Here is an 11,201-nt window from a genome sequence, read left to right on the forward strand (position 1 = left end):
GCCCCACCTCTTCCGGGGGAGAGGGGGCGGGCACTCTCGATGCGCCGCGGCTGCTGCTGCGCAGGCCCAGTGCTGCGCTTCGCGGCAGAGGCGTCTGCGGTGACAGCTCAGTCAGTTGAGCTCTGTGTGCCAGGCGCTCGCGAGGGGGTAGCTCTTCTAGTAGTGCTCGGCGTCAGACATGGCGGAGGCGATGGATTTGGGCAAAGACCCCAACGGGCCCACCCATTCCTCGACTCTGTTCGTGAGGGACGACGGCAGCTCCATGTCCTTCTACGTGCGGCCCAGCCCGGCCAAGCGTCGGCTGTCGACGCTCATCCTGCACGGCGGCGGCACCGTGTGCCGAGTGCAGGAGCCCGGGGCCGTGCTGCTGGCCCAGCCCGGGGAGGCGCTGGCCGAGGCCTCGGGTGATTTCATCTCCACGCAGTACATCCTGGACTGCGTGGAGCGCAACGAGAGGCTGGAGCTGGAGGCCTATCGGCTGGGCCCCGCCTCGGCGGCGGACACCGGCTCGGAAGCAAAGCCCGGGGCCCTGGCCGAGGGCGCCGCGGAGCCGGAGCCGCAGCGGCACGCCGGGCGGATCGCCTTCACGGATGCGGACGACGTAGCCATCCTTACCTACGTGAAGGAAAATGCCCGCTCGCCCAGCTCCGTCACCGGTAACGCCTTGTGGAAAGCGATGGAGAAGAGCTCGCTCACGCAGCACTCGTGGCAGTCCCTGAAGGACCGCTACCTCAAGCACCTGCGGGGCCAGGAGCATAAGTACCTGCTGGGGGACGCGCCGGTGAGCCCCTCCTCCCAGAAGCTCAAGCGGAAGGCGGAGGAGGACCCGGAGGCCGCGGATAGCGGGGGTGAGGAGGCTGAGCGCGGGGCCTCGCGGATATCTGCGCGGGTGGGGTTGGGATCTTTCTCCTGGCTGCCTGGCGTCCATCTTGGCATCTTCGGTAGCAGCGCTTGGCCCCGCCCCCTGTTGACATCCGGGTAAATTTGCACCATTTTCTTGCCTTCTCGCTCCCTTGTTGTTTATTATTGTTCTTTTTTTGCGATGGGTCTCTGTTACCTAAGCTGGTCTGAACTCCTGAGCTCAAGCGATCCTCCTGCCTCGGCCACCCAAAGTGTTGGGATTACAGGAGTGAGCCACCACGTCTGGCCTCTCGTCGTTTTTATTTTTTAATTTTTGAGTGGGGGCTCGCTCCGTCGCCCAGGCTGTGATGCAGCCGCGCGATCACGACCTACTGCATCCTGGACCTCCTGGGCTCAAGCGAATCTCCGGCTTCAGCCTCCCAAGTAGCTGGAACTACACTCCCGCGCCACCACGTCCCGCTAAATTAAAAAAAAAATTGTTGTAGAGATGGGGGTCTCGTTGTGTTGCCCTGACAGGTCTCGAACTCTTGGGCTCAAGCGATCCTCCCGTCTCGGTGTCCCAAAGTGTTGGGATTACAGGCGTGAGCCATCACACCCAGCTTCTTGGTCTAGTTTTAATTTACTTTACCATTGACTAGAATATTGACATGGTTCTATATTCAAAAGTTACAAAAAGTATATAGAAAATTCTCTCTTGGCCGGGCGCGGCGGCTCAAGCTTGTAATCCCAGCACTTTGGGAGGCCGAGGCGGGCGGATCACCTGAGGTAAGGAGATCGAGACGAGCCTGACCAACATGGCGAAATGCCGCCCCTACTAAAAATACAAAAATTAGCCGGCCGTGGCGGAGAGTTCCTGTAGTCCCAGCTACTCAGGAGGCTGAGGCAGGAGAATTGCTTGAACCCGGGGGGCGGAGGTTGCAGTGAGCCGAGACTGCGCCACTGCTCTCCAGCGTGGGTGACAGAGCAAGACTCCATCTCAAAAAAAAAAAAAAATTATCTCGTCCTTCCTGTCCACCAGCTACCCACGGGCTAACTGGCTTCTTGTGTTTCTTTTAAGAGATATTCCACAGACTCCTTTTTAAAAAAGATTGCTGTTATGTTCAGGTAGATTCAGTATAAAGGCGTACCAGACTTACTTTAATGCTCTGGCGTAACTGAATGCCTATGGACTTAAGAAGGTTCTCGGCAGTTGGAAGGTCTCTTCCTGGTCTTGCTTAGGTGAAGTGAGTTTTTAATGCAGTTGAATTGAAAATTGGGGTTCAGTATGTCTAGGATACAGAACGAGTCTGTTAAGATGTACTTGGTGACGTACCTGGCATTGATAACTTAAACCGATAGACCCTTTTGTTTAAAGAGGCATGCTGCTTCTCCTCCCCCTCCGTAATCCTCCCACCTTTTCTTTGCCTGTATGACTACTCCATTTAACACTTGAAGTCTGGGGAGTAAAATCTTTTTCTCCTGTTCAGTATGCTTAGTAGGAATTTTGTTTTGGTAAAAGTGACATTTCAGCTTCATTCATTCAGCAGAAATTTGAGTGCCAGACATTGTGGTCCTGCTGGAATATAACAATAAATAAAAGTCCCTGTGGTCCTGGAGCTTATAACATGCTAGCTGGGGAGTGGTAAGGGCTATAGAGAAAAATAATTCAGAGTGTAAGGGTTGGGGAGGAGGTTTTTCCTATAGGATGATAAGAGAAGGTCATTCTCATAAGCTGATGTTTAAGCAGAGACCGAAGGAAGTGAAAGAGCAACCCAGGTGGATATCTGGGGAAGAGTGTTCAGGCAGAGGAAGAAGCCAGGGCAATCGCCCTTAGGTGGGAGTATGGCTGGTGTGTTTGGAGCCACAAAGAGAACAGAGTGGCTGTTAATGGAGTAGGAGGGAGAATTAATTATAGCAGATGAGGTTAGGGCTATGTGTATGGGTGAAGTATGTCATCATGTATGGCCTTGCTTTTATTTTTATTTTATTTTAATTTTATTATATATCTTGAGATGGGGTCTTGCTCTGTCACACAGGCTGGAGTGCGGTAGTGCGATCACGGCTCACTGCAGCCTTGACTTCCCAGGCTCAGTGGATCCTCCCACCTCAGCTTTCCAAGTAGCTGGGACTACAGGCACTCGTCACCATACCTAGCTAATTTTTGTATTTTTTTGTAGAGACAGGATTTGGCCGTGTTGCCCAGGCTGGTCTCGAACTCCTGGGCTCAAGGGATCTGCCCGACTTGGCCTCCCAAAAGTGCTAGGATTCCAGGTGTGAGCCACCATGCTGTGTCTGGGACTTGCTTTTAAATCCGTGATGTTGGGGCTATTGGCAAGCCATTTGGAACTTGGGACAAAATTAAGCTGTATTCATCCTACCCATCTAAGTAATCTTTTGATAATCAGATATTTAAATGTAAAAATTAAAAAATTCTAAAATGAGTAAGAGAAGATATGAATGAATATATCAGTATGGTGGGAGTTGCTCTGAACCATTTGTGGTTCAGGATGCTGCCTGATTTGCCAGAAGAAAAAAAGTAAAAATATTAGCATGGTGATAAGTTATGAAGCCAAAAAGACAAAGAAAAAGTTTTATATATTTGATTACCTGAAAATTAAGAACTTCTCATGATAAATAAAGTCAGAGGGCATGCTGGAAAAACATTCCCAATACACTGCAATAGACTTAGTTTCTTTAATGTCTAAAGAGCTCTTTGTCATTAAGTAAGAAGTCATTAAGTAAAAAGAAAACTAATAGAAAAATGAGAAAAGGAAATGGAACAGGAAGTTCCCAGAAAAGGAAATAAATAAGCGGCCGATAAACAAATGAAGAAATAGTCTGTTATTAAATGAAAGTAAATCAGACCGAGTGCGGTGGCTCATGCCTGTAATCCTAGCACTTTGGGAGGCCAAGGTGGCAGACCACTTGAGGTCAGGAGTTCGAGACCAGCCTGGCCAACATGATGAAACTCCGTCTCTACTAAAAACTACAAAAACTATCCAGGCATGGTGGCATGCGCCTGTAATCGCAGCTACTCAGGCAGCTGAGGCATGAAAATTGCTTGAACCAGGGAGGTGTAGGTTGCAATGAGCTGAGATCAAGCCCCTGCACTCCAGCCTGGGTGACAGAACCAGACTCCATCTCGGAAAGAAAAAAAGAAGAAGAAAGAAAGTAAATCAGACCCTGAGCCTAGGGTCAGTATAAGCTATACTTTGACCCATGAGACCTGTGAGATAATAAATATGTGTGTTGGAATTGTTTTGTATTTATTTGATGAATTGAGATAGCTTCCATTATACAAAATAGAACAAAAGCTCCCCAAGTTATTTATTTTTTTTAACTAAATCAGAGCAAGGAGATGTTATACTTTATCTATAAGATTGGCAAAAGTCAATACAATGGGTAATATCCAAAGTTAGTGTATGGGAAAACAAGTATACTCCTACGTTGTTAATAGAAATTGATACAATTTCTTTGGGGGGCATTTTGACAATATCTGATGACATTTATAACGTATATTCCCTTAAACATGGCAGTTTTGTTCTAGGAATTTATCCCGTAGATATACTCAGAGTACAAATGGGTACATACTGAAAAGGCAGTCTCCCTATTTACATACCCTTTTCCCTGGGTCCTTTCCTAGGGGCAGCCTCTATTACCGTCTCTTGTCTGTTGCATGTCCCCTTTGCTCATAGTAATACTAGCACACTAGACATCAACTTAATCTGTGGTTTACTTTTTTTAAACTTAATTATTTATCTTGAAGTGTTTGTGTGTCTGCACAAAGCTTTTCCTCATTCTTTTCTAATTGATTGCACTGTATTTCATTATGTGAATGAACAGTAATTTACTTTTTATTATGGAGAATTCCAAGCATTTACAAATACAGAATAGTATAATGAACTATACTGCATATACCCATCACCCACCTTCACCTGATTTTAGTTCATGGCATTTTTTAAATCTATACTTTTCATCCCAACTTCCTGGACTGTTTTGAAGCAAATGCCAGACATCATATCATTTTATCTATTTTAGCATGTATCTCTCAAAGATAAGCCTCTTTTAGTTACTATTTAAGAATTTTATTAAATACATACAGTAAAATTAACTTTTTATGGTGTAAAATTATATGCATTTTAAAAACTTTATTTTTTATTGTGGTAAAATGTATATACCGTAAAATTTACAGTTCAGATAGTTTTTTAAGTGTTCTGTTCAGTGGCATTATTAAGTGCATTCACATTGTTGGGCAACTGTCACCACCATCTGTATCTAGAACTTACTCATTTTCTAAAACTGAAACTCCATGCCTTTTATTATTTTCTGCTTCTAGGGGTCAGAAACATGCCTATTAAACACTAATTCCCCATTTCTCCCTCCTCTTAGCCCCTGGAAACAACCATTCCGCCTTCTGTTTCTATGAATTCAATATTTCTAGATACCTCATACAAGTAGAATCATGTAATATTTGCCCTTTTGTGTCTGGCTTATTTCACTTTACATAATATCTTCAAAGTTCATCCATATTGTAGCATGTGTCAGAATTTGATTCCTTTTTAAAGGTGAATAATATTCCATTGTATGTATATACTACATTTTGTTTTTCCATTAATGTATCAATTGACATTTGGCTTATTTCCATCTTTTGTTTATTTTGAATAATGCTGCTGTGAACATGGGTATAACTAGTATCTGTTTGAGACCCTGCTTTCCATTATTTTAGGTATATGCCTAGAAATGCAATTGCTGGATCATATGGTAATTTTATGTTTAATTTTTTCTTTTTCCTTGTGGGTTGTCATCATGAAATTATATTGAATTTTTTGAGGAACTGCTGTACTCTTTTCCAGTTATATGTGTTTTAACATAGGTAAATTTTTGTAACCAGCACCCACATTGGGATTTAGAACAATTCCATCACGAAAAACTCCCTCTTGCTGCCCCTTTGTAGTATGTTTTAGTAAGTAGAAAAGGAGCAGAGTTAAATCTTCAGAGAACAAAATGTAAAGGAAAGGAACAGGATGTTTAAATTTAGGAGGCCCTCCTTTTTGTAGATGGTATATTGGTGGATTGTGGTACGTGGCCCAGATCTGCCTTTGGCTGCTAGGAGAGCTGCCTTGCCCAAACTCCTGTCTTCTTAGGGCTGCCACCATCCAGTGACTGATATTTGCAGAGTTACAAAGTCTGCTCCTTGGCCCCAGCTTGGTCAGTTCTGAAGGGCCTTCCTAGCTCCAGAGTTGCCCATGGTTTTGGCTGAGGTCTTGTTGAAACTCTTTGATAAGTCAGCTTCTCTCTCTGCCCACTCCTGCTCTTCCACAAAGGTTTTCCCAAAATCACTTCCCAATTCTTTAAATTTCCATCTCCATCTCAGAATTTGCTTCCCAAGGAACCCAATTTATGACACATTTTTATTAATTTGCAAAGTCTGTAACTACAAAGCAAAAAATGAATTAAACTTGAGCATTTTTATATGTCAGAGTTTAAGAATGTATCATTGTTTGGATAGTACATCTTTTCAGAAGCAAGCATAGAAATGGGTGAATGAGCACGTCCTAGGCTTTTTTTACCCTTCTGAATCAAGAACAGATGTCTTCTGATAGTAAAAAAAAAAAAAAAAAAAAAAAAAGTGCAGGCTCACTCCTGGCCCAGAGCTCACACAGCAAATATATTTTTGGTTTATGTAAAAGAGGCTATTGCTAATCTGTGCTGTTCTTCTCTTTAACAGAACCACAGAATAAGAGAACTCCAGATTTGCCTGAAGAAGAGTATGTGAAGGAAGAAATCCAGGAGAATGAAGAAGCAGTCAAAAAGATGCTTGTGGAAGCCACCCGGGAGTTTGAGGAGGTTGTGGTATGTTAACTAGATTTACTCATTATTTTTTTCCCTACCTTCATTCTTCTTTGAAACTGGTTATCCTGTACACCTTTTTCATCTACCTGGGGCTCAGGAAAGTGAGAGAGGAGTTCAAGATGGAAAGGGAAAATGGAAAATGGGACTGATCTGGGCTTCAGACATGTTGCCCTGAAGCTTTTGCTTCACAAAGCTTTTAGTTTTTGGCAGGACAAGTTGAGGGGGAAAGGGAGAAAAATTGGGTAGAATAGGGACAGTTGTATAAACAGTATAAAGCATCCCACTTTGAGTACTTTAATGTCAATATATTTTTCAAAAAGTTTATAGTAATTGTTTTTTCTATTTTTTTGAGCCAGAGTCTGGCTCTGTCGCCCAGGCTGGAGTGCAGTGGTGCGATCTTGGCTCACTGCAAGCTCCGCCTCCTGGGTTCACACCATTCTCCTGCCTCAGCCTCCCGAGTAGCTGGGACTACAGGCGCCCACCACCATGCCTGGCTAATTATTTGTATTTTTAGTAGAGACGGGGTTTCACTGTGTTAGCCAGGATGGCCTCGATCTCCTGACCTCGTGATCCGCCCGCCTTGGCCTCCCAAAGTGCTGGGATTACAGGCGTGAGCCACCGCTTTTTGTATTTTTTTGAGGTGGAGTCTCACTCTGTCACCCAGGCTGGAGTGCAGTGGTGCCATCTCAGCTCACTGTAGCCTCCACCTCCCAGGTTCCAGCAATTCTTCTGCCTCAGCCTCCTGGGTAACTGGGATTACAGGCATGTGCCATCATGCCCAGCTACTTATAGTAATTTTTTTTATCAAGCAAATTTAGCTTTTTGTGTACTTTGAGCTTTTTAAAAATGTTTTAGCTCTTCCATATTCAGTCTAGCTTATATTACTCTGTTAGAATCTGATATTTAATAATAGCTACAGAGAAAGACAGGAGCCATACAATAATGATAAGTTTTTTAAAGGTCCAAATTATATGTATATATTTTTCCATGATAAAGCGTCTTGTGAACTAACAAAGAAAATTCATATTAACAAAGAAAAATGGTTAGGCTTCAGTCCAAACAAGGGAAATAATTTAAAGCTTCTGTAATTGGTGAGTGAAGGGATGCACAGGAATTGAAGGGATGCACAGGAATTGGCAGGATTTAGGGATTGTTGCCTTTTGTAGTCTGTTTTATTATTTGATATTTGGTTCATTTTTCATAAACTTCAAACACTCAGCTCTCAAACATGACCTACCTAGGCCTCTTCTCATATAGCATGCTTTGTAATCTGTCTAACCAGTATAGCTTGGAAGCCCTAATACATTCATACAGCAGTGCTTTTTGAGTACTTACTATGTATAGGCATTGGTGGGTATTGGAGATGTGGTGATGAACAAAACATACAATTCCTGCCCTTAGGAGCTTACAGTCTTGAGAGTGAAGTCAAACATTTAACAAATCTAATGAACATGTGTGCACATATATGTGTCTCTCTCTTTATATATACATATATTTTTCATATTCAATGTAGCTTCTAATATTCTATTGGAATACTATAGTCAATTATACACACATATACACATATACTCCCCCTACCCCTCACACACACGTGCACACACACACGCGCACACACACACGCGTGTACATATACATACACATCTGACATGAATAAATGTAAGAAGGAACACAGCATATTAAGAGGAACTGAAGGAAGTCCAGTGTGATTGGAATGCAGAGGGCAAGGGGGTGATAGTTGGAAGAGACCAGATATTGTAAGAAATCAAGACTTGGTGATTAGGAGCTGGTTTTACTCATCATTCTGTCTAGGTGGATGAGAGCCCTCCTGATTTTGAAATACATATAACTATGTGTGATGATGATCCACCCACACCTGAGGAAGACTCAGAAACACAGCCTGATGAGGAGGAAGAAGAAGAAGAAGAAAAAGTTTCTCAACCAGAGGTGGGAGCTGCCATTAAGATCATTCGGCAGTTAATGGAGAAGTTTAACTTGGATCTATCAACAGTTACACAGGCCTTCCTAAAAAATAGTGGTGAGCTGGAGGCTACTTCCGCCTTCTTAGCGTCTGGTCAGAGAGCTGATGGATATCCCATTTGGTCCCGACAAGATGACATAGATTTGCAAAAAGATGATGAGGATACCAGAGAGGCATTGGTCAAAAAATTTGGTGCTCAGAATGTAGCTCGGAGGATTGAATTTCGAAAGAAATAATTGGCAAGATAATGAGAAAAGAAAAAAGTCATGGTAGGTGAGGTGGTTAAAAAAAATTGTGACCAATGAACTTTAGAGAGTTCTTGCATTGGAACTGGCACTTATTTTCTGACCATCGCTGCTGTTGCTCTGTGAGTCCTAGATTTTTGTAGCCAAGCAGAGTTGTAGAGGGGGATAAAAAGAAAAGAAATTGGATGTATTTACAGCTGTCCTTGAACAAGTATCAATGTGTTTATGAAAGGAAGATCTAAATCAGACAGGAGTTGGTCTACATAGTAGTAATCCATTGTTGGAATGGAACCCTTGCTATAGTAGTGACAAAGTGAAAGGAAATTTAGGAGGCATAGGCCATTTCAGGCAGCATAAGTAATCTCCTGTCCTTTGGCAGAAGCTCCTTTAGATTGGGATAGATTCCAAATAAAGAATCTAGAAATAGGAGAAGATTTAATTATGAGGCCTTGAACACGGATTATCCCCAAACCCTTGTCATTTCCCCCAGTGAGCTCTGATTTCTAGACTGCTTTGAAAATGCTGTATTCATTTTGCTAACTTAGTATTTGGGTACCCTGCTCTTTGGCTGTTCTTTTTTTGGAGCCCTTCTCAGTCAAGTCTGCCGGATGTCTTTCTTTACCTACCCCTCAGTTTTCCTTAAAACGCGCACACAACTCTAGAGAGTGTTAAGAATAATGTTACTTGGTTAATGTGTTATTTATTGAGTATTGTTTGTGCTAAGCATTGTGTTAGATTTAAAAAATTAGTGGATTGACTCCACTTTGTTGTGTTGTTTTCATTGTTGAAAATAAATATAACTTTGTATTCGAGTCTCGTCAATAAGTGTTTTGATTGTATATGCAAAACTTTTTAGGTATAAAAACCACAAAGGAACTAACAGTTGTTGTTAATTACAACCAATAAAGTGGTTCCATTTTAGAATGAATAGGCCATTGGAAAGATACTAGTTCTTCTGGATGGAGCAAAGAGAAGAACTGCATCAAGGACTGTGAGAAGTGGCAAAATAAGCTGAACTGCTGAAAGCCAAAGGGGAGAGAAACCAATCAGGGACCAGCAGGTGGGTAGCAGAAGGTGTCAGGACCTCATCCATATTCCCTGGGCACACATCATTCTCTAGCATGTGCCACTATCAGGAATCCTGCAATAAGCACCTGCTTGAGGCTCTCTGCTTGAAGTGCTATGGAGTTAATGCCCCTGTATGGGAATTCGAGGGTGCCTACCCAGCTTCCCTGCGGACCAGAGAAGTTATACAACTGGATATTTGAAAGTTATCCTTCGAGTGGGATAATGGTTTCCATGCCATCTTTTAGAGGTCCCCAGTAGTAGTAAACATAGTTGCCCACAGTGGGAATCTACTTATGAATGCATCCTGCATAGGCTTCCTTCTCTTATCTCATTCCCACTTCCCTACAGTGCATCCTGGAATCATCATTTGTACTCAAATGCTTGTTCTCCTCTTTTTTTTTCCTTCAAGAAAATATTTATTGCATATTATTAGTGATTATGTTTTACAGCAAAAGTAAACACATACACTTTTCACAAACACAAAATGGGAATCAAGGCATCTATCAAATGTAAATGTTGAACCAAGTCCTGGTTTTCAGAATTCAGCAGCCAATCCTGGTTCTGCACCAGGGCCACTAGGCTATCTGTGCTTAGTCCTCACCTTGGGCAATCAATGTTGCCCCAGCGAGCTGCAGCTTTGGTTTAGGTCCTGGCCCAGGGTCTGCAGGAATGGGGTTCAGGATTGGTGCAGAAGGCTGAGACAGTCTTGATGGTGTGGTTGTTCACTGTCGTGTCACCTGGTCCTGCAGAACTGTGGGAAGACCCAATCCTCAGCTTTGGGGGCCACCCCAATTATGCTGGGACCATTGTAAGTGGAGTATTTGAAAAGATGGCCAGCATGATATTTACTGATTTCTTTTGCATTTAATGAGTAGTTTCTAATATATTAAATAGCATTTTATTTTTCTTTTTTAGAGACAGGGTATCTCTCTGTCACCCAGGCTGGAATGCAGTGGCACTATCATAGCTCACTGCAGCCTCAAACTCCTGGGCTCAAGTGTTGTCCCTGCCTTGGCCTCTCAAAGTGCTGGGATGACAGGCATAAGCCACTATGCCTGGCCAACATTTTCTTTAATTTTTGCTGTATATTTTGAGTGATTAGAAGTTTTGCCATACACATCTAGGGCCATACACATGCCATACACATCTCTAGGGTTTGCCATACACATCTGATCAGAATTAGTTTCAGATTTATATTAGCTTAAGTCCAGTGAAAT

General features: G+C 43.0%; 1 protein-coding gene across 3 annotated transcripts, besides 6 other annotated features; it reads left to right on the forward strand.

Annotated features, from left to right (window-relative positions):
- Positions 33-990: an enhancer, noted in NCBI's record as "H3K27ac hESC enhancer chr16:75681635-75682592 (GRCh37/hg19 assembly coordinates)". NCBI's record gives its function as "activates a minimal SCP1, AML or CMV promoter by ChIP-STARR-seq in primed H9 embryonic stem cells {active_cell/tissue: H9 hESC(primed)}" and the evidence as "EXISTENCE:reporter gene assay evidence [ECO:0000049][PMID:30033119]".
- On the forward strand, positions 69-9,728 carry TERF2IP (TERF2 interacting protein). Of its 3 annotated transcripts, none has more exons than NR_144545.2 (3): positions 69-978; positions 6,569-6,693; positions 8,503-9,728. NR_144545.2 is itself a non-coding variant. In NM_018975.4 (3 exons), exons 1-3 carry the CDS (start codon positions 179-181, stop codon positions 8,905-8,907), a joined length of 1,200 nt encoding a protein of 399 aa, NP_061848.2. In that variant the 5' UTR covers positions 69-178; the 3' UTR covers positions 8,908-9,728. The 3 variants fall into 3 exon arrangements, 2 of the variants coding, with proteins under 2 accessions (NP_061848.2, XP_047290172.1); NM_018975.4 differs by having other exon boundaries at positions 69-848; XM_047434216.1 differs by lacking the exon at positions 8,503-9,728 and having other exon boundaries at positions 5,567-6,647.
- Positions 494-613: a silencer, noted in NCBI's record as "silent region_7728". NCBI's record gives its function as "represses an Ori minimal core promoter by ATAC-STARR-seq in GM12878 lymphoblastoid cells {active_cell/tissue: GM12878}" and the evidence as "EXISTENCE:reporter gene assay evidence [ECO:0000049][PMID:35858748]".
- Positions 924-1,193: an enhancer, noted in NCBI's record as "active region_11145". NCBI's record gives its function as "activates an Ori minimal core promoter by ATAC-STARR-seq in GM12878 lymphoblastoid cells {active_cell/tissue: GM12878}" and the evidence as "EXISTENCE:reporter gene assay evidence [ECO:0000049][PMID:35858748]".
- Positions 924-1,946: a biological region, named in NCBI's record as "H3K27ac hESC enhancer GRCh37_chr16:75682593-75683548".
- Positions 991-1,946: an enhancer, noted in NCBI's record as "H3K27ac hESC enhancer chr16:75682593-75683548 (GRCh37/hg19 assembly coordinates)". NCBI's record gives its function as "activates a minimal SCP1, AML or CMV promoter by ChIP-STARR-seq in primed H9 embryonic stem cells {active_cell/tissue: H9 hESC(primed)}" and the evidence as "EXISTENCE:reporter gene assay evidence [ECO:0000049][PMID:30033119]".
- Positions 2,525-2,604: an enhancer, noted in NCBI's record as "active region_11146". NCBI's record gives its function as "activates an Ori minimal core promoter by ATAC-STARR-seq in GM12878 lymphoblastoid cells {active_cell/tissue: GM12878}" and the evidence as "EXISTENCE:reporter gene assay evidence [ECO:0000049][PMID:35858748]".

The sequence above is a fragment of the Homo sapiens genome, chromosome 16 (genome assembly GCF_000001405.40).
Source record: "Homo sapiens chromosome 16, GRCh38.p14 Primary Assembly".
NCBI classification, from domain to species: domain Eukaryota; kingdom Metazoa; phylum Chordata; class Mammalia; order Primates; family Hominidae; genus Homo; species Homo sapiens.

Coding starts and splice junctions, on each gene's coding strand:
- TERF2IP (NM_018975.4), top strand. CDS start 179: ATGGCGGAGGCGATGGATTTGGGCAAAGACCCCAACGGGCCCACCCAT. Junction 849..6,568: donor GGAGGCCGCGGATAGCGGGG/GTGAGGAGGCTG, acceptor TCTCTTTAACAG/AACCACAGAATAAGAGAACT. Junction 6,694..8,502: donor GGGAGTTTGAGGAGGTTGTG/GTATGTTAACTA, acceptor CATTCTGTCTAG/GTGGATGAGAGCCCTCCTGA.